A 21,720-nucleotide genomic window follows, 5' to 3' on the forward strand; every position below is an offset into this window, starting at 1 on the left:
ACCTGCAGTCATCTTGTATTCAACTAGTGTTTATTGAACACCTATCGTCATTCTTCCATTCAACAGACATTTAGTTATCGCCCACTGTATGTCACATGCCAAGGCAAATCTACTTGCAAAGAATGCAGAGTCTATTAGAAGAGAGAGACATGTATGCAGTCAAGTCTAACCTTAGTGCATTCAGAGTAATGCCTGCTGTAATGAAGGTTCATGTAGATACTGTCGCTGGCATATAGCAAACAGTGAATTCAAGGAAGACCTCACAGACCAAGCCCTGATAGAGGTGGACCTTAAGGAATGGGGAAAGAAGAAGAAAGGGTGGGAAAAGACGGTCCGTGCAGAAGGAATAAAAGTAGTGTGTGAAAGAGCATGCCATATATGGGGAGGTTTTGAGTGACCTGGTAGGTAGAACGTGGGAGTTGAAGGAAGAATAGAGACAATAGGGTATTTACCTAATGGATCTTACTGCCAACATTCTTAATGCAAAGGAAACAAAATTGGCAGAAATATAAACACAGGTGGACAGAACAGTCTTTACCTACTTAAGTTAACACAAGGATATAACATTGATCACTCTTAAATTCTGCCTTATGTTCCTATAGTGACTTTTAATATACTAAACTACCCTTGAGCATTATGAGTGCTTGTAAATATCAATACAGTACTGAGAAAAATAAATATGCTAATTTTGAGCCAATTTTCAGTATCTGTTTCTATTTGGGGCTAATTTTGGAGAACTGGTTTTGGAACACCTCACTTCCATATCATACAAAGTAGCTTGGGAGGAAACATTGCTCTCATCTTGCTATAATTTCCTCCAACCAGAAGAAAGATCAGTTTGTTTGTTTGTTTTCTTAAGACAGAGTCTTGCTTTGTTGCCCAGCCTGGAGTGCAGTGGCGCAAACATGGCTGACTGTAGCCTCCACCTCCTGGGCTCAAGTGATCCCCCTCCCTCAGTCTCCAGAGTAACTAGGACCACAGGCGCACACCACCAAGCTTGGCTAAGTTTTTTTTTTTTTTTTTTTTTTTTTAAGAGATAGGGTCTTGCCATGTTGCCTATGCTGGCCTCAAACTTCTGGGCTCACACAATTCTCAGCCTCCCGAAGTGCTGGAATTACAGGTATGCACCACCACCCTTGGCCAGTTTTACTTTTTGTCCTCACTAAACAGCAGTTTTTTTCTACTTACTGAAATGTATCTGTTTCCAAACTATTGTTACTTGTATGGGATTTTAAAAACAGATGGCTGTTAATGTCCATAATCAAAATAAGGAATTTAAAGCTCTACAGGGCCTGTCTTGGCACTTTCTTAAGATTGAGAACATGCGTTATTCATCCTGGCTCTTTTCCAAAAAACTGCCCTTGAGAAGTTGTGCACAATTTATTTTTATGTTAGTCCCCAGGAATGGAAGTTGTCCAGGCCACTCCATCACACTCTTCATAATACTTGTAATTTAATGCTGGGCACTTCAGTTAACAATATGAGCAGAATTATGCCGTGGTAATTGTAGAGGTATGTGGCAAAGCAGCTGATTTTAAAATTTTAATCCACTCTAAATATGCATTGCACCCTTACTAAATTAGCCTCTGATTCTTAGTGGCCTTTTGGAAAATGTATTCAGTATGCTAAAGTTTTTAGAAAAAACATTCTGAAATTTTCCTTTTCATTCAAGCCCTGTTTTTTTTCTTCCCCCTTCCCAGCACATGACTTTTATTATTCCAAGAATTGATACTAGAAACTGCATTTATTGGAAAGATAGAACAATGGTATCAGTTAATTCTGGAAAAACAGTAGATGTCACATCAGATGTGTCCTGGGCAGTAAAGTTATACAGTTTGTATTTTTTCTGGTTCTAAATCTGAAGGTATTATTTTCTTTTTCAGTTGAACCCTGGGTGGCCCCATCTAACACTTTCGGATTTCAGCTGGCTTTTATTTCTATTGTATTTGAATGAAGAATCAGGAAATTCTATTGGGATTACATTATCTTATGGTTATGTTGAGATTATGAGAGACACCACTTATGCTACTACGTACGTTTCAAAGTGGTGCTTTTAGGTTTTCTGTTCTTTGTGAGCCTCTTTGTGTGTCTTTTTCATGACTTGCATGTGAGGCAGCTGAGGAAGAAACAATCTATACATCGTTTCTCAATCTATACTTCCTTTGGCATTTATACCACGCATAAATATACTGAAACATGATTTTTTTTTAAAAAAGTGTGGGGGGCAGGAGGGAGGGGAAGAAATAGTAAGCATCAATATACACAGAGCACTGAGCCAGATGCTGGGGAGGTTACCAAACGAATTATAGGCTCTGCCCTGGAATAGAAGGTAACGTTATACAAAGAAGCAAACTCACAAGTTAATAAGATCAGGACAAAAAGTGTTAAAATGGAGATAAGTGAGGCTAGTCTGCGCTACCAGGGGAAGTCACTGTGGCCTGAGTGTTTAAGCTTTTGGAGGAAGAGAGACAGACCTCAACAACTCGGGGTGCCCCCTACATACTCACAAAGCTTTGCCTGCCCCTGGGTGTGTGTCTGCTCTCAGTGAAGAATACCAGTATCCACTGTTCCTTGTGGGTCATTATTTTCTGCTTGATAAGAAATTGTTTACTTTGGCAAAACATGCCTATATGCTTAACATGCCTGTCTTACCTCTTTTGTGGTAAATGAACCAAATTGCATTCTCGTATTTTCTGTTTGACAGTGACAGCTGTGCAGATTCAATTCAGGCCCCTTGGACTAAGAACACTTGTGATTTTCATTTATCTACGATATATCATTCTTAGAGAAGATCAGCCTTACCCATATTACTTCCTTTTTCAGACAAATGGACACCTACCAGGGAACGGAGATGTGTATCAAGAAAGGCTGGCACGTTTAGAAAATGATAAAGAATCCCTCGTTCTTCAGGCAAGTGATTTTTAAATACTGTTCTTTCCTTGCAGCATACTTACAAAGCCTTTTAAATTGGGGTGGCAAATTCAGATTGCTTGCAGCAATCAGACTGCTAATAGAAATAAGCCTGATAAGCCATCTGTACACAATAGGGAGTGGTGAGGATTGGGGCAGAATGATGGTGTTTACACCCAGTTTAAAAGGAGCTACCATTAATCATCCTCAGCTCTTGCAGGACCAGTCTGAATACGGGCACAATGTTGTCTGATCTGTTCTTTTTTTTTTTTTTTTTTGGAGGCGGGGTCTTGTTACATTGCCCAGGCTAGTCTTGAACTCCTAGGCTCAAGCAACCCTCCTACCTCAGCCTCCCAAGTAGCTGGGATTACAGGTGTGCAGCACCATGCTTCACTGGATCTGATTTTTAAGTATATTTTAATATATAGCAGAAATTCAGATATATGAATATAGCATAACATCTGAATATATGTAAGTTTATATTTCTGAATCTGAAATCAGAATATATATATTTAATTTTTCAATTTTAAAAATGTTACCCTGTGTGAGACAAAACAAAACAGTGACTAGAACCCTCCTTGTGGGCTAAATTTGAGTTTGCTTCTTCATAATGTTTTAAATGCTTCACAAACATTTTTCTTTGGTATATTGAGCAAAATGAATTGAAGTATATTTACTGAGTGATGATTATTGAGGAAAAACTCAAAGATCTGCTGTAAGCACTAGAGTTGAAGGACTAGCCCAACAGCTCCTCAGGCACCTTTGGGTATATTGAGTTGCCCCCCCTGACTTTGAACACATCTATGATCTGTGTCATCTTCAAAGAGCTCATGGAATTTGAATTCCCTGGGTTTTGTTTTTGTTTTTGTTTTGGACGGAGTCTCGCTCTGTTGCCGAGACGGGAGTGCAGTGGCACAATCTTGGCTCACTGCAACCTCCACCTCCCGGATCCAAGCGATTCTCCTGCCTCAGCCTCCTGAGTAACTGGGATTACAGGCACATGCCCCCACAGCCAGCTAATTTTGTATTTTTAGTAGAGATGGGGTTTCACCGTGTTGGCCAGGCTGGTCTTGAACTCCTGACTTCAAGTGATCTGCCCGCCTCAGCCTCCCAAAGTGCTGGGATTACAGGCGTGAGCCACCGTGCATGCTACCTCTCCCCCCTACCCCTGGCCAGGTTCTTTTTCTTATTCTCCTTGAAGTATCAAATTTTTGATAATTTCTATTTCAAACATTAACTTTGTTTCCTCTCTTATACTATCTCCACGCTGCCCCCTAAAAAGATAACTTCTGTACATGCTGTCTTTCATAAATGGTTGAAGTAGCTTTAACCAAAAAGTATTGTACATTCCTAATCTACACGAATTTTCTCCAAATTGTATAGGCCTCCTTAAATCAAATAGCAACATATAAATAGGAATGTGAGGGACCACTGTCTTCTTGGTACTTCTCAGATTTTTTTTTCTTTATAACCGTATGAATGGTAGGATCATTCCTTTTTTTGTTCCATTTAGAGAAATAACGTATGCAGTGGGACCCAAATTCTTTTTCACTCATTGCATTATTTTGCTCTAAATACAGGTAAGTGTGTTAACAGACCAGGTGGAGGCTCAGGGAGAGAAGATTCGAGATTTGGAGTTTTGTCTTGAAGAGCACAGAGAGAAGGTGAATGCCACAGAAGAAATGCTGCAGCAGGTATGTGCAGAGGCCAGAACCAAGATGGGATTTCCCTGCTGAACTATGTGAGATGCTGCATTTCTATGTTGTGTTTGCTCTGATGCAGCAGTAAGTTTCTTGATTCATTTAGACCAGCACATTAAAAAAAAAAAATTGAGAGTAGTAGAGTCTCAAAACACATGCACACAATATAAAGTGTTTATGTAATTAGAATCTGGAACAAAATGTCAATAGGATTGTGGCTTATTTTAATTTTCTTTTTTTGCATTCAGATGGTTTCCTCTCACCCATAGCATGTGTTTTATAATTAAGAAAAAATATAATAGTAAAAAATCTAATAATCCAGTTTAAAAATGGGTAAAATATTTGAATAGACATTTCTCAAAAGAAGACATACAAATGGCAAACAGACATATGAAAAGGTGCTCAACATCATTGCTCATCAGAGAAATGCAAATCAAAACTGTAATGAGATACTATCTCACCCCAGCTAAAATGGCTTTTATCCAAAAGACAGGCAATAAGAAATGCTGGCAAAGATGTGAAGAAAAGGGAACCCTTGTACACTGTTGGTGGGAATGTAAATTCATACAACTGCTATGGAGAACAGTTTGGAGGTTCCTCAAAAAACTGAAAATAGAGCTACCATATGATCCAGCAATGCCACTGCTGGATATATACCCAAAGGAAAGGAAATCAGTATATCGAAGAAATATCTGTGCTCCCGAGTTTGCTGCAGCTCTGTTCACAGCCACCAAGATTTGGAAGCAACTTAAATGTCCATCAACAAATGACTGGATAAAGAAAATGTGGTACTTATACACAATGGAGTACTATTCAACTATAAAAAAGCATGAGATTCAGTCATTTGCAACAACATGAATGGAACTGAAGGTCATTATGTGTGAAATAAGCCAAGCCCAGAAAAACAAACATCTCACGTTCTTACTTATTTGTGGGATCTAAAAATGAAACAATTGAACCCATGGAGATAGAGAGTAGAGGGGTGGTTACCATAGGCTGGGTAGGGTAGTGGGGATGAAGGGAGAGGTGGAGGATGGCGAAGGGGTACAAAATAATAGTTTCCATGAATAAGGCCTAGTATTTAGTAGCACGTCAGGGTGACTATAGCCAATAATAATTTAATTATACATTTGGAAATAAGAATATAACTGGATAGTTTGTAACACAAAGGATAAATGCTTGAGAAGATGGAGACCCCGTTTTCCATGATGTGATTATTACACATTGCATGCCTGTATCAAAACATATACCCCATAAATGTATATTCCTACTATGTAGCCACACAAGTAGAAAAGAAAATATCTAACATATAGGAGAGGCTCTGTAAGGTCATGGATGGAGTATGCACTTGAGCAAAACCTCGTAGGTTTCCATTCCTGCTGTGTTTTTATTTTTTCTTTTTCCCTGTATGACATTAGGCCAGTTCCTAACCTCTCTGTTACTATGTTTCCTCATCTTTTGATTAAGGATAATAAGAATTTCTACCTGATAAGTTTTTTGTGAGGATTGAAATAGTATTTGTTACAACCGGTGCCTGGCACATAGCAAACATAGTATCACCATCATCAATGTTATCATCAGACTGAAGTATATATATGGTTTATGCATGTGTATCTACACAACATATGTCTCCCTCAGTAAACTGACATGTGCTTATTTCTGTTCAAAGGAGGGTAACTAAAGTGAATAGTTCTTTTTTATTTTATTTTATTTTATTTTTGAGATGGAATCTCTGTCTGTTGCCCAGGCTGGAGTGCAATGGTGCGATCTCCGCTCCCTGTAACCTCCGCCTCCTGGGTTCAAGTAATTCTCCTGCCTCAGCCTCTCAAGTAGCTGGGGTTACAGGCACCCGCCACTATGCCCGGCAAATTTTTGTATTTTTAGTAGAGACAGGGTTTCACCATACTGTCCAGGCTGGTTCTCAAATTCCTGACCTCAAGCGATCTGCCTGCCTCGGCCTCCCAAAGTGCTGGGATTACAGGCATGAGCCACTGTGCCCAGCCTCAAGTGAATAATTTTTTAAAAGTGTGTAGATTCAGTAATTATACTTCACTATATCCTCTACTTGATAGGTGCTGCTTTGTGCGATCATAAATGAGGTAAATTCACGTGCCTGTTTATAATAAAAGACTTCTTGAATGTATCTGTTAAATTATAATAGGAGCTTCTAAGTAGGACATCCTTAGAAACTCAGAAGTTGGATCTGATGGCTGAAATATCTAACTTGAAGTTGAAACTGACAGCTGTAGAGAAGGACAGATTGGATTATGAAGATAAGTTCAGAGACACAGAGGTGAGTGATACAGTCTCTCCTCCCTCTCTCTCTCTCTCTGTCACTCTGTCTTTGTCTCTGACACACATACATTCCTAGGGCAAAGTTGAAATTCCCTGGAGGTGTGCAAGGAAGGCAGTTAATTACTACGTACCATCATCCTACTTCATTTTAAGAATAATCTTTCATTGCATTGACTTTTTATCACTAGATGCTAATGGCAATTTTTATTTTTAGACTTTTGATATGAAGTATTAATCTTTTTATTAACCTTTAGAAATACTTTTGACTTTACGATATTTGGAGCATCCGTCCATCCATACTGTTTTTCTTAATTTTGTAAATAATGGGCTTAAATACATGGTTTCACTAGTAGTTATTATTTAGGCACACTGATTATTTACTATGTAATTGGATTTTGAAAATCTGTATAGAAAACATGCTAACATTCTATACTCACAAAATCACAGACAGAGCTTTTTTGAGGTCTTTTAATTTGGCATTCTACTTTTGGTCTGTTCCACATGTAAATCATTCCAATTAAATAAGACTCACTGTACTTCTACAAAAATCAGGGTACATTCTGTAACTTGAAGTATCCATTTTAGTGGCTTAACAAGCTTTATTGTTTGTTCTATTTTGTTAATTCAGGCCTCCTAGTTTGTTTGCTTTGTGACATTTGGCAAGTTCTTAACCTCTCTGTTGGTTTTTGATGGAGACAGAGAGCATATCCATTTGAAACATACATTTGAAATGAAGTATAAAGAGTTGCAGAAATTTCTTTTCTCTGAGAGCCATCTCCCCTCCTTTTTGCTTCCTATTTTGTTTCCTTGGTTGGAGTATGGAAGGGTGTCATGCTGGATTAGAAAATGGGTACCAAGGAGAGAGGAGAGAAAATGGTTTACTTATTTTTCCCTTCTGTTTTTATTTCAATCATGTATTTCACGCTGACTATAAGCCAGCATGATACCAGGCATTACATACATTATCCACCATAGGAAAGTTCTTTATATTGGAAATAACAAGTTTTACTCCACTGCTATTTTCAAAATTAAATTTTCTGTCAAAGATTCAATTACAGTGGAAAGTCTTGGTATATGTCTTGCTTCCTCCATAGCAAAAGGAAGTCTTTCATTTGGTTCATGTTTTAATCTTTTTTTTTTTTTTTAAGAGATAGGATCTTACTGTGTTGCCCAGGCTAGTATGGAACTCCTGGCCTCAAGCAATTCTCCCATTTTGGCCTCCCAAAAGCACTGAGGTTACAGGCATGAGTCACCATGCCCAGCCATGTTTTAATTTTAAAACTCTTTGTCAGTTGCCTGTGTGAGCATGTTTCTCATTTGATAGAAGCTGGGGCTCTTAAAACAGGACTTAGAAAGTTACCCAATTTAAAATTCTTGGTTTTGTATTTTCTCTAAAAATCTCTTTGATATTTTCCTCTTTCCCCTCTTTTTGTCAGGTCCTAACCCCATAGTCGCAGGGTAAAGTAATAGTAAAACTCAGTCAACAGATGGGCAACATGGCAGTGGAGCTAGCTCTGCTGCAGGGAAGAATTGATGGTAGATATGGATAGAGGTGGTCTTCTACATTGCGTCCACAAAGTCAAGGGGAAATATTCACCTGTTGTTAACTTAATTTGTATATGAGATGTTAACCAAATGTTGGGGCTAAATTGCAGTAGATGTGTTACTTATTGTTGTAAGCGCCTAGGGTAATATTTATATCCCTTGAGTTTGGCTGCTTTTTTTAATCAAATCTCTTTTCCCCACTTTTTCATTGTTTCACTCATGCACTCTCAATCACATACAAAGTGATCTTGTCATCAAACTTCCTGTACACTCAATCCCTGATAATCTAATAAAAATTCAGTGTTATTTCTAAAACGTATGCACAGACCCGGAGATTAGAGCATATGTGGTAAACTTTGTGATGTTACATATGAAAATAATTAAAATAATCTTCAACATTAAACTAACTTGAATATTCTCATGTTCTTGTTATCGTCCCCTTAATAAAAATATTTTTCTGGGTGTTTCATGAATCCATAATATTTAACTTTCTCTTAGAATTTTAGATTTATATTTGGATATTAATTTCCAAGAAAATATTGGCATGGGGAAGAAGTATAGGCATTTCCAAAGGACTGAGGGTACAAGTCTTTAAACTTTGGAAGATTCAGGACTTGTCCCTGGAATTGCTAATGGGAGATGATTAGCATCATTCAACAGTGCCCCCTTGTGGTAAGAGCATACATGTCAGAGACTGAGTTCCTGCAGGAGCCCTGAATTCTCTGAAAGGGAAAAGAGAAAGGGAACAGGAATTTTCTTTTTTAAAAGGACTGAACTTCTGATAAGAAATTGATTGAAATAGTTTGTATTCTGTTTTTTAAAGTTTTACATTAGGGAGCCATTTCCAGATTTTCCAGCTTGTGTTGTCAGGGGAAGATGTGATTTATTTCAGGTTGGAAATTTAGACCATATTTAAAGTATTGCCATGAAATATAGTTGAGTAGTTTTTTGTTAAAACAGATAAATTATCCCAGTTTACAATTCCATTTTTTTCAGTGGTTTCTTCTTTGCACGAGCAAAGAAGAAAGGAAGCTGTAAAATACAATAGCAGATAAGAATTCAATGGTATTTCTTAGCAATGAGAAAGTAGGAAAATATATATTTAGAAAGATCATATTGATGAATATCACTAAGGACTCATATTATGCAAGGATGATTAGCTTAGATAACTGGGAAAAGCTGATTTTTTTCTTTAGACTTGAATTCTGACCTGTTAGTTGAGGAATCACAAATATGTTGCTGAATAATGTCAAACAGTTCATGACCTAATTCATAAGAAGAAAATAGATATCATCTAAGTGAAATATTGTGCCATTATTAAGGTGTAATTGTATAACTATGATAGGTAATATTTTGCCCCATTTTATAAGAGACCACAATTTAAAAGCCTAAGGGTTTACTGGGAAGTGTTATTTTATTGTAGCATCCCTTCTCTTAGCCTTTGTGAACTTGAATCATTACACTTGGAAGCTTAAAATAATTTCTATTTACAAAGTTTTATTTCATATAGCATTGTTCTACTTGTAATTTTTGGCATTCGTGGATAATTTTGTCCTGTAGTCTATGAATTTGTGATGCAGGAATACATGCATGTCTTTGTAAAAAGAGAGAAGCTGGCCGGGCACAGTGGCTCACATCTGTAATCCCAACACTTAGGGAGTCCGAGGAGGGCGGGTCACTTGAGGTCAGGAGTTCAAGACCAGCCAGGTCAACATGGTAAAACCCCCGTCTCTACTAAAAATACAAAAATTATCTGGGCATGGTGGTGGGTGCCTGTAATCCCATCTACTGGGGAGGCTGATGCAAGAGAATCACTTGAACCCTGGAGGCGAAGGTCGCGGTGAGCTGAGATGGCGGCACTGCACTCCAGCCTGGGTGACAGAGTGAGACTCCATCTTAAAAAAAAAAAAAAAAAAAAAAGGAGAGGGAGAGAGAAGCAAAAATATAGTAACCATTGTAGGGATCTTTGTGGCTTGTAGTAAAATAAGTCATCTCCCATGCAGGGTATTTGAGTGTCTCTTTTGGAGGAGTTAATATTGCTTAACACTCTAATTTCCTTTCCTACTCTCTGGGCTCTTGGACAAGTTTTGTGAGCAAATTGGTCCTTTAAAAAGTAGCACTAAAATAAAGTGGCAGTAGAAAAGGTGCAGAATTGTGTTGTGTCATATAAACACTAGGATTGGTTTCTCTTTCATTTTCTAATGATAAAATTAGGTGAACTGCAGGGCCCTCATCCACTTTCCAGTTGAAAATTGTCATTAAACTTACAGTAAACTCAATCCCTGATAATCTCCTAATAAAAATTCAACACTATTGCTAAAATGTATGCACATACCCAGAGAATAGAGAATAGTTGAGAAACTTTGTGATGTTATATATGACGATAATTAAAATAGTCCTCAAAATTAAAACTGATTTGACTATTCTCATGTTCCTGTTATTCACTTAATAAAAATAAAACATTTCCCTGGCTGTTTCAGGAATCTTAAGGATTCATGGCTTAAAGGATTTAATTTTCATTTCATTCTCCCATATTGGGTTGACGAGCAATCCATATTTTTGTGGACAAAGGAAGAAATTACAAATTTTTTAAAATAGCCATGTATCATTGAGAAGGTTCAAAAGGTAAATGGCTTTACTAAAGAATGTGGTATATTTAAAATATGAAATAGCATTCTATGAAATAGAATAGAAATAGCACTCTGTGAAATAGCATAGAGTCATTTTTAGGATAGAAATATCTGACAAATAATAGATATTACACTACCTTTCTTAATCAAAATTATACTCACCTTTTATTTTCATAAGCCCATCACTTTAGGGCAGACGCATTGGGGATTTAAAGGAATGTTTTAAATGGAAAGATGCCTTCGTTCTTAAGGAGGTACATTTATTTCCATTTGTCTCATCTGATTCATACAACTTTAACCCTAGGAGCTGGTGACTTCTTAAGATTTCCAAGCTGCTATTTTATAGGTATAGGTAACTGTGTTACCACTTTCCTAATGTACTTTCTTGTTTCTTCTTGGACAGGGGCTGATTCAGGAGATCAATGATTTGAGGTTAAAAGTTAGTGAAATGGACAGTGAGAGACTTCAGTATGAAAAAAAGCTTAAATCAACCAAAGTAAGTTTTTCTCACAGGTTAACATTTTCAAACAAATGGCATCACTATTCATCTATGCCCAATAATATAAATAAGATGTTTTCTACTTAATGTATGATAAAGAAGGTATTTTAAAAGTAAATGAAGATTTCCCCCCAAGCTGGAAACCTTGAATTTAAGCACCACTGATCTGAATTTAAAAACAAGGCTTAACTCATCCGACAGAACATAACCTGCCCTTTCTCTGAGTTGTATCTAACCTCCTTTATAAACTGATACTGTTTTCTCGGTTATTTAGCTTGTCTTTTTCTATCTGTAGTTTTCTTTCACTCCTCTGTCTCTCTACCAGTCTTTAATGGCCAAACTTTCTAGCATGAAAATCAAGGTGGGTCAGATGCAGTATGAAAAGCAGCGGATGGAACAAAAATGGGAGTCACTGAAGGTGTAGTAGACGTTGGGTGATGGGGTCCATGGCCTGTTGCTTTCTGGCTTGTGTTGTTTTGCTGTGATGATGTTTTTAGTGGCATGTGCATTCATTCTGTGTGTGTGTCACCTGTTGATTACAAATCACCTCAAGCTGATTGAAGGGACAATGGGATCCCTGATGTTGTTTTCAGAAATACATGAAATAATTGGTGAAAAATAATAAACAGGTAAAAAGAAAGAATTTATAAATTAATCTCTTAGACTATCTGAGACCCAAGCCTAGTAAAATAATTGTAAACATTCGCTTGTGAAAGAATTCTGTTTCGTATCCACAGTAGAGGTCATTTTCCTCTTTAGGGACTTTCTTGATGGTAAATGTACAGCAGTTGATATTATCATGGCTGTGAATAGAAATGACTGCTGAGAAGCAGCACGGTGAGAACAGGTTCACACTTCCTGCCAGTGCTACTGAAGACTTTTTGTACTTGTCCACTCTGCTCCTACCAGAAGTCAAAACTATAGGGCCAAGTGCCTCACTTCATTGGAGAACTACATCTTCTCATAGTACTAAATGTAATAAATATATCTTTAGAGATTCTGAAAGCAAAATGTGATGTTGAATATAAAGCTGTACTTCTTAGCATTGCATAGCTGTATTTTCTGTGTTAAGTACAGCCAGCAAAATTTGTTTGCTAAAACTAATTCTTTACTGAAAGGAAACTGAAAATTTAAACATGAGTACATAGAAGGATGGACTTGAAATCTTATACACAGTTGTATAGTTAAAAATTAAAAGAGGGCTCCACTATCTGTTTTCGAAATTTATTTTTTCCCATTGTTGTAGGAGATTCTGTCCTTTTGTCTTAGTGATGAGGGTGAATTATTTAGTTCCCTGATTTGGCTAAAATTGTTCATGACTTGCTACCTTACCCATGAATGAAACTCTGTGCTTGTCAAGGAAGCATGAGTGCCAACTTGAAATGCTGAATAAATGTCAAGCTAGTCTTTTCCAATTTGCATTTTATTTTGCTTTTATGACACTAAGTATCTAATTTGATTATCTTCCTTGATTAACTTGGTTATATTTTTAATTTAATGTAAAGATTTAAACCTTAGGGCTATCCCATCCCTAATTACTCTTTAAAAGATCTCTTTTTAATTTGATTACAAAGAAACTTGAAATAATTATACCATAACTATTATAAACAGGACTTCTACTAATAGTCTTGCTTTTTGCTTTTCATTGCCCTTGTCTGATTTCTGATGCTTGCATCTAAATTCTAGTAGATTTGTTTCATTCATAAAACCTGATTATTGATTTAAAGAGCTAATATGCTCTCTGAATGTTCCTTTTCAGTCATGATCTGCTATTTTTAAATGAATTTGTAACTTGTAGGATGAACTGGCATCTTTAAAAGAACAACTAGAAGAAAAGGAATCTGAAGTAAAAAGGCTACAAGAAAAATTGGTTTGCAAGATGAAAGGAGAAGGGGTTGAAATTGTTGATAGAGGTAAGAAGATATATTTCACATTTATCATCTCATTTTGTTAAAGTCCTCCAAAATCTGTAAAGGAAACCAATGAAAATCAATGTGTAGTTTTAGCATCAAAGAAAGAGCAGCAGAATCCAGCCAGGACCAGAACCACAGGGGATTCTCCAAGACTCTTTACTGTGACTGGGAATCCATTAATTTCCTCTTCAGCAGCTGGAAAAGGGGAATTCTGTACTTTATTTGGTGTTTAAGATTGCTAGACTGTAAATTCTCATCACAAGGATGGACTTGTCTCAATTGCGATGCAAGGGAATTTGTGCCAAAGGAGTTAAAAAGAACCATCCCTGTGTCCCGGGATCGTTGCCCTCAGAACTGAAATTAGATAAAGTAAGGGACTTAGAAACTGTTCTGCCCTTTTGAGAGAAGAGAAAAATGGTTCTGTATCTTTGGAAAAATTAGTAAAAAATTTATACCAGGGATTGAGCCCTCCACCTTTTAGAAAAATAGGCTAATTCTGTTTTTGGAAAAAATGCATGAATTTGTCCAAACTTTTTTCATAACAGCAGAGGTTTGTTCTGAGTATTATATGGACCATAATTTCTAACAAAGCAGATTGTGCATGATAGAAAATAGCCCGAATGAAATACATTTTTAAAATTATATTTGGAAATATAATGTGCATAATATCTGACAACACTAGGTTAAATTTAACCTTTCTTTGTTATTACGAATGATGACTGTGGCCCTATGAGATACCAAAGCAATTTCTGAGTCATTCAAAACAGTACAAATTCCAGTTAGCGTAGCTTTGTTACATTTTTATCCATTTTATGAACATTAGTAACATTGTCTGTCCAATGAGGGACTTGAGTTAGATTATCTCTAAAGTCCTTCTTGGCTCTAGAATACCATGGCCTTATACCCCTGCAGGTATCACAATTCCCTGTCCGTCAGAAAATTCATCAAGCCTGAGGAAAATGGATTCTCACCACCAACCGCTTCACCGCCCCACCCCATCACCTACTGTTTGGCATATATATAATTGTGTATTGATAAGGGACATTCAGAAACAGGTCATACTGATCATGCTTTCAGGGTTTTAAGAATAAAATGGGCTGGTTTCAGTGGCTCACACCTGTAATTCCAGTACTTTGGAAGGCTGAGGAAGGAGGATCGCTTGAGGCCAGGAGTTCAAGACCAGCCTGGGCAACACAATGAGACCCTGTCTCTACAAAAAATTTCTTTTTAAGATTTGAAATTTTTAAATTTCAAATTTCACCAGGCATGGTGGCTCACTCCTGTAATCCCACCTACTTGGGAGGCTGAGGAGGGAGGATCACTTAAGGCCCAGGAGTTCGAGGCTGTAGTGAGCTATGACTGTGTCACTGCACTTCAGCCTGGGCAATGGAGCAAGATCCTGTCTCTGAAAAAAAAAAAAAAAAAAAGAATAAAATGGCATCACAGGACTTGTGGGCTAGAAGATATTAGAGTATGCTCCCCAAAGTCTGATCTGAGGACTCGAACCAACCTGGGAACTGCGTGTTACCAGTGCCCACCAGCTAACTACGGGGATTGAGAACAAGTCTTTAGAAAGCTCATGTCAGGGTGATATTGGGATAGCATCTAACTGCATCCTCACTGGACTCATCTTACTGGACAGGAGATAGACCCTTTCAGTGTTGTTGAACTTGAGTGGTGAGTTGCATGTGACACAAGCAGTGTTCTAGTCACATTCAGGAGGACCAGGTATCAAACCGTGATGGAAATATAAAAACAAAGTGACACTAACTAGGTTTTCATCATTTATGGTATAAGAAGTGCTTGTAGTCCATAAACCTAATTTTAATGTGAGAAAATCAAGGTCCAGAAAAATGAAGTGACAGAGGTAGTAACTCAAATTTAGGTCTTCTGTTCTCTTTCTAACCTCACATAGAGCATTATTGTACTACCAATCCTGCAGTCACAAAATAGTGCTGAAAAAGTTTTTATGAGGTTAGATTTCCGTTATTTTAGGTAAAAAGAGACTAAATAGTAGTGATTTAAAAATATTACTTATTGTTGTAATGTATGCTAACTTCCAATCCAATGGGTTTTCCTGCACAGATGAAAATTTTAAAAAGAAGCTCAAAGAAAAAAGTAAGGTTTGGTGCATTTCCATCAGCCTTTACATTCACCAAAAATACTACCTTGGACTGTTCTTTGCATGTGTTTTAAAACATTTCTCTCACCAAAGATGTAAAGTTGCTTCATCAATAAGCCCTCCATTTCTTCAGAGTGTACACAATAGAGGGTGGATAATAAAACAATAAGGTAAAAGATTATTTTGAAGATTTTGTCTGATTCAACCTTTCCGCTCTACAGTGTATAACCGGGCACACAGCATTGTGGATGTAAGAAAACATTTTCCCTGCAGTCTAGGTGATTCAGGGTCAGAGGAGAAAATAACTTTTATAGTACGAAAACTCACGATTTTAAAGGTTTACCAGAGTTGAAAGATAATTTTGAAATTTGCTTTTGCTTTTCAATGTTTTGAAGTCCACTATTTGTCTGGGATCTATTAGAAGCTCCTTTGAACATATTCTGTTGTTACAACAGAGATTGAATCCAGCTGATTCATGGAGCCTGAATATTTAATGCAACATTAAGGTAAATCCTGCCAGGCATGGTGGGAGGATCACTTTTGAGGCCAGGGGTTCAAGACCAGCCTGGGCAACATAGTGAGATCCTGTCTCTACAAAAAAAAATTTAAAATTAGCTGAGCATGGTGGTGCATGCCTGTAGTCCCAGCTACTCAGGAGGCTGAGGTGGAAGGATCACTTGAGCCCCAGGCATCTAGGAGTTTGAGGCTGCAGTGAGCTATGATCTTGCCATTGTAGAGTTTGAGGCTGCAGTGAGCTATGATCTTGCCATTGTACCACGGCCTGGGCAACACTGACACCCCATCTCTTAAAAAAAAAAAAAATTAACTCCTTAGGGGCTCTTTCCCCCAGATGTTAAATTCTCAATTCCTATAGAATATATCTTAATTGAAAATGTTACACCAATGCTGAATGATGCACCACTGTTTTATAACTTATCTTAAGAAGACTGGATGTGGTGGCTCACTCCTGTAATCCCAACTCCTCAAGAGGTTGAGGTGAGAGGATCACTGGAGCCCAGGAGTTCAGAGCTACAGTAAGCTGTGATTGTGCCATGCACTCCATCTGAATGACAGAGGAAGATGCTGTCTCTAAAAAAAAGTATTATCTTCAGTAATTTTTTTTTTCTCAGAAGCAGGCAACTTTAGCTGATTTTTTTTTTCCTGTTTGAATTTTTTAGTTTGTGATTTCATTTTGGAGTGACTTTTCATTTATTTATTTATTTGAGACAGGGTCTTGCTATGTTGCCCAGGCTGGTCTCAAACTCCTGAGCTCAAGCAGTCCTCCCACCTTGGCCTCCCAAAGTGCTGGGATTACAGGCATGAGCCACCACACCAGGCCCTGGAGTGACTTTTCATCTTTAAAATATATAAGTTTTTTATTATTCAAGTAACATGCTTTTGTATTTGAATATCAAATTTTAAGGAGAATCACATTCAGCTTACTTTGGCCTTTATGTCTTGAAATCTATCTTAAGGTAGTATTGGAAATGAAGTTTATAGATGAAGCAAAGTACTTATTATCCTTACGTATGGAACTACAACCAGCTTCTTAGCATGACTACTCATGTAAATACTACAAGCCATCAGGCACTTACCGTTCATTCATGCCTCTATCTTGGTTATAACTATCATTTTCTCTGCTTTTGTCATTATATATACCATTCATGGCTTTCACGCACTGCTTTATAGATTCCTGTTTTAGAAACGTTATGTTTTTATTACTATAGCACTGAAATTTCATCTTCAGTGTTCTCATGAAGATTCTCTTGTTGCTTTAAGAGAGGATAGCTAGTTCTCACACACCCTTGTTTTCTTTCTAGAGTGGCAACTGTTCAGGTGAGGTAGAAGATGTCCATCTTTTCAGATTTTTCCAAAAGAGAATATGGGTGTTAAATGTGCCCTTTTTAAAGAATAAATGAAAGAAATCATTAACATCTTTACCTTAAAATATTTCAGTCTGGAGAGTAAATAACTTCTTATCACTGTCACACATGTGAACTGAACTGACTTCTGATTTGATGTTATTTTCAGACATCGAAGTACAAAAAATGAAAAAAGCTGTGGAGTCCTTGATGGCAGCAAATGAAGAAAAGGTATCCAGATGAAATTTAAATATACGTGTGGATGTTTTTTAACACCATTTTGACCATTCCATGCAATTTCATGAGCTATGCCATTTTAAAAGAACATGCCCAGAACACTGCTAGGAGTGAGGGGCAGGTGTGCACACTCCCAGGTGGGCTGTATGCACAGGAATAGGGAGGAGCTGCACTGGCTCCACTGAGAACTCCTGCCCCCACGAATTCAGAAAATGTTCAAACTCTCTGATCAGTTCCGCATATTCACGTGACATGTAAGAGAGAGGATACATTCCATAGTACCTCCTGTATGTGGGCACTGAAAATTCTGGGCTAACTTTTGGGCCCTGAAGGAGCTAGCTTGACAGCCTCAGCTTCATGGTCATGTTGGTTTTGTCCTCCATTTACTCATTATTTCCTTTACACTCCTGGCCTGTTTCACATCTGTGATTGTCTCTGCTCTCCCGAGAGATTAAATACCAGAAAACAGCGGCATGGGCTTTACGTTAGCTACACTGGCTGCATTCCAAGGTTTCCACAGGTTTCCTCCCCCCCCAGTTGGTTCTTGTTATCCACATGTGATGTTTCGTCCTGCTAAGGGCAGGGATGCAGTTACTGCACGAAAGTAATGGGTTTCTTCGTGGCTTACCTGACCACGTATCTAGCAGGCAGCCGCAGCTGTGTTCAGCTGATGTCATCAGAACTTCTCTCCCCTTATCTGCCTGAATGAATAGAACCAGGGGACATTTTCCCAAAAAGAAGAGTCATTTCAAGGAAGTAAAAAACAACAAAAAGTCAAAGAACTTTAGCTTGATCTTTTTCTCCCATCGTAAGTTTCTTTCTCTCATTCTTGACTCTTCTGTTTTTCTTATCTCCTTGTTTATTTTTGCCTCGCATTCTCTTTATTTGCTCTTTATTGCCTGGAAGTAAACTGATTGTCATGTCTACTCATATAGGTTCCTTTTTGCTAATGTTTCCCACTATTGAATAAAAAAAAAGTAATTAGCAAGCTGCCCACTGTAACTTTTATTTTTTTTTAAATCACTGAAATTCATTTTGTTTTCATTTCTGTCCCTCAAAAAGCCACAGCAAACAAAATTCCCAGTGTTGAATGAGGGCTTATGAGATGCTCAAACTGTTAGAGGGGCACCCAGCATAACATAACTTCCTCGTGGGGTCGGGGATTCAGAAGACTTCAAAGAGGACATAATTTGAGCAAATTCTGGGGAAGAGCAAGAGTTGTTCATCAGGAAAATAAAGGCTTCTTAGGCAAAGGGTCCATGAATCAAAACTTGTCTCGAGACCAGGTTTGAAACAGCGCAGTGCATGCTGGGATTGTGCTGGAACATGAAGTGCAGGTGGAGTCGGGGCGTGGGGCTGACCACAGAGCTAAGTCAGTGGGCAGGCTACTTCATACACCATGGTCTTGATTTAGGGTCTTAGCTTGTAAACCTTAGGCAGTGACATGATTACATTGCCATTTTAGAAAGCTAACTCTGGTAGCAGAATGGGAGAGTGAAGACAGACAAACAGTTAAGAGTCAGTTAAAATAGGTGAGAAATGAAGAGGGCTTGAAGTAAGGCAATAGCAGTGAAGTGATAAGGTGGGAAGAGCTTTTAGAGAAATTTACGGGTTGACAAGATTTAAGATCTCTGGATTTGAAAAACGAGAGAAAATTTCTGGTTTGGGCAATTGGGTGAATGGATGAATGGATGGTTCTCTTAAGGAGTTAAGGAAATCCAAGCACAGACTCAAGTACTGAAGGGAAAGAATGAGCTTAATTGTAGATATAGTCTATTCAATATGCTTATGGGACATTCTAAAGGAGATTTCTTACAGAAAGTTGGAACATAAATCTAAATTTTAAGATTAATGTAGAACTATAGATTAGTGGGGAGTGAGACCCATCAATTTTAGGAGAAATGCAGAGTTGTAGATTGGTGGGGACTAAGCCACAGTTGATGTGTCAGTTAGCTTTTGCTTTGTGACAGGCCACATTTATTATTTCTCATACTTCTGTGAGTTGGCTAGGTGATTCTTCTGATCTCGGCTGGCTTAGCTGATGTCTACAGTCAGCTGGTGGCTTAGATGAGACTGCATGCATAATTTAGGATAGTGTCACTCACATGTCCAGTGATTGACAGCCTAGTTTAGGTTGGCCCCAGCTGGGAGGACTAGCCTCTTCTCCAGATGGTCTCCCATCCTCCAGTAGACTAGGCTGGACTTCTTCACGTAGTTCCTCAGGGTTCCTTAGAGCCACACCACAGGGCAGCCACAAAGGGCAAATGTTATTCAAGCCTTTGCTTGAATAACATTTGCTGATATCTCTTTGGCCAAAGCCAGCCACATGGCCAGGCCCAGAATGAGAATGGGAGGCGCTAGGGAGGCCATTTTCATAACACAGTTGAGCACATGGGAAAAGCAAAGAGGGTCATGGACAGAACCTGGAAGCTCTAGCATTTTATAGTCCAAGAAGATAATGGGGGTTATGGAAGTTCAACAGCTATCTGGTCAAAGGATTGAGAAATAAAAATCGAAGAAAAGAAAGAGTGGATGGATAAGTGAAAGGAGAAGGAAAGAGTGGGGTCAGTCAAGTGCCATATGGAGGTCAAATTAGAAAAAGGTTGGGGCCGGGCATGGTGGCTCACGCCTGTAATCCCAGCACTTCAGGAGGCCAAGGTGGACAGATTACTTGAGCCCAGGATTTCAAGACCAGCCTGGGTGACATGGTGAAACCCCATCTCTACAAAAATACAAAAATGAGCTGGGCATAGTGGTGCATGCGTGTACTCCCAGCAACTCAGGAGGCTGAAGTGGGAGGATGACTTGAGCCCAGGAGGTTGAGGCTGCAGTGAGCCAAGATTGTACCACTACACTGCAGCCTGGGTGACAGAGCGAGACCCTGTCTCAAAAAAAAAAAAAGAGAAAAAGGATGAAAAGTGTTCATTGTTTTTAATAGATAGGAGGTCACCTTGGTAGAGTGTTTTAAGAGGGGAGAAGCCAGATGGTGATTAATGATGGCTAATAAAGACAGAAGATGGGGGTCTTTCTTTTAAGGTTTGACTTAGAGAGGAGAGTTATTGAAGCTGACTTTTTTCTTTTTTTGTTTTGTGTCTTATTACCTTGTTTTGTTTTTGTTTGTTTAAAGATGGCAGCTAAAGGATAGGATCTCTAAATTTAGAGGTACTTTGCCCATATGTTTAATGTATGTAGGAAACATAGTCTAGTTATTACCAGTTCTCCTAAAGCTTAGAAGTATTCTTTAAATAAGGTAAATAATTCACATCTGCTTATTCTTTTTTTTAAATGCTCTCTCGGCAGAATCATGCGTATTCTTTATGTAATTACTATTCTTTATGCAATTCTTTATGGAATTACTATTACTCTTTTAAGAACATAGGATTAAAGATTACAATTTATTTTATTCCTAGGATCGGAAAATAGAAGATCTTCGACAGTGCCTGAACAGGTACAAGAAAATGCAAGACACGGTGGTACTGGCCCAAGGTAAAAAAGGTAGAGTGTAGCTCTAAAAGTTTTTCTACTTTGGTTGACTCTAAGTGGCTATAAACTTACACATTTGGCCTCAATTTCTTTCCTGGATCATACCCATTGTCCCAAATTAGGTAGCTAATTCGTTAATTGAACAATTAGGCAACTGTACTCTGCCAGAAAGTGTCCAGCCTGAGGAGTGAGTGTACTGTAGAGTCATTGGTCGGGGAGTGCCTCTCTAAGGAGTTGATGAGATAGCATTCCAGAGAGAGAAAAACGACAGTATATGCAGAGAGCCTAGGGGGAAAAGAATATGGCATGCTTAAGAAGAAGAACACCAGTGCAACTGCAAGGTGGTGGGCAGTGGGGAGAGGGGATGAGATGAGACCATAATGATGAGCAACCTCTGGTAGCGCAAGGGGTGGAGTTAAGCTCTTGCTCAAGTGCAGAGGGACTCACTGAAGGGTTTTAAAAGTCAGCAGTGGTCAGGCGTGGTGGCCTACGGCTGTAATCCCAGCACTTTGGGAGGCCAAGGT

General features: G+C 38.3%; 1 protein-coding gene across 50 annotated transcripts in view; it reads left to right on the forward strand.

Annotated features, from left to right (window-relative positions):
* The window catches only part of PPFIBP1 (PPFIB scaffold protein 1), a 171,359-nt gene that overhangs the window by 119,033 nt on the left and 30,606 nt on the right, over window positions 1-21,720 (forward strand). For 8 of the 50 annotated variants that reach the window (XM_017020056.3, XM_024449232.2, XM_017020059.3 and 5 more), the window contains 9 exons: window positions 2,824-2,910; window positions 4,491-4,604; window positions 6,772-6,903; window positions 11,484-11,576; window positions 11,905-11,997; window positions 13,378-13,492; window positions 15,578-15,610; window positions 17,646-17,707; window positions 21,124-21,208. In XM_017020056.3, the coding sequence (XP_016875545.1) occupies window positions 2,824-2,910; window positions 4,491-4,604; window positions 6,772-6,903; window positions 11,484-11,576; window positions 11,905-11,997; window positions 13,378-13,492; window positions 15,578-15,610; window positions 17,646-17,707; window positions 21,124-21,208 (814 nt within the window). Of the gene's footprint in view, window positions 1-2,823; window positions 2,911-4,490; window positions 4,605-6,771; window positions 6,904-11,483; window positions 11,577-11,904; window positions 11,998-13,377; window positions 13,493-15,577; window positions 15,611-17,645; window positions 17,708-21,123; window positions 21,209-21,720 lie in introns of those variants that run through there. The other 42 variants (XM_047429754.1, XM_047429760.1, XM_047429764.1 and 39 more) reach the window with 8 other exon arrangements.

Source organism: Homo sapiens, chromosome 12, assembly GCF_000001405.40.
Source record: "Homo sapiens chromosome 12, GRCh38.p14 Primary Assembly".
NCBI lineage: Eukaryota > Metazoa > Chordata > Mammalia > Primates > Hominidae > Homo > Homo sapiens.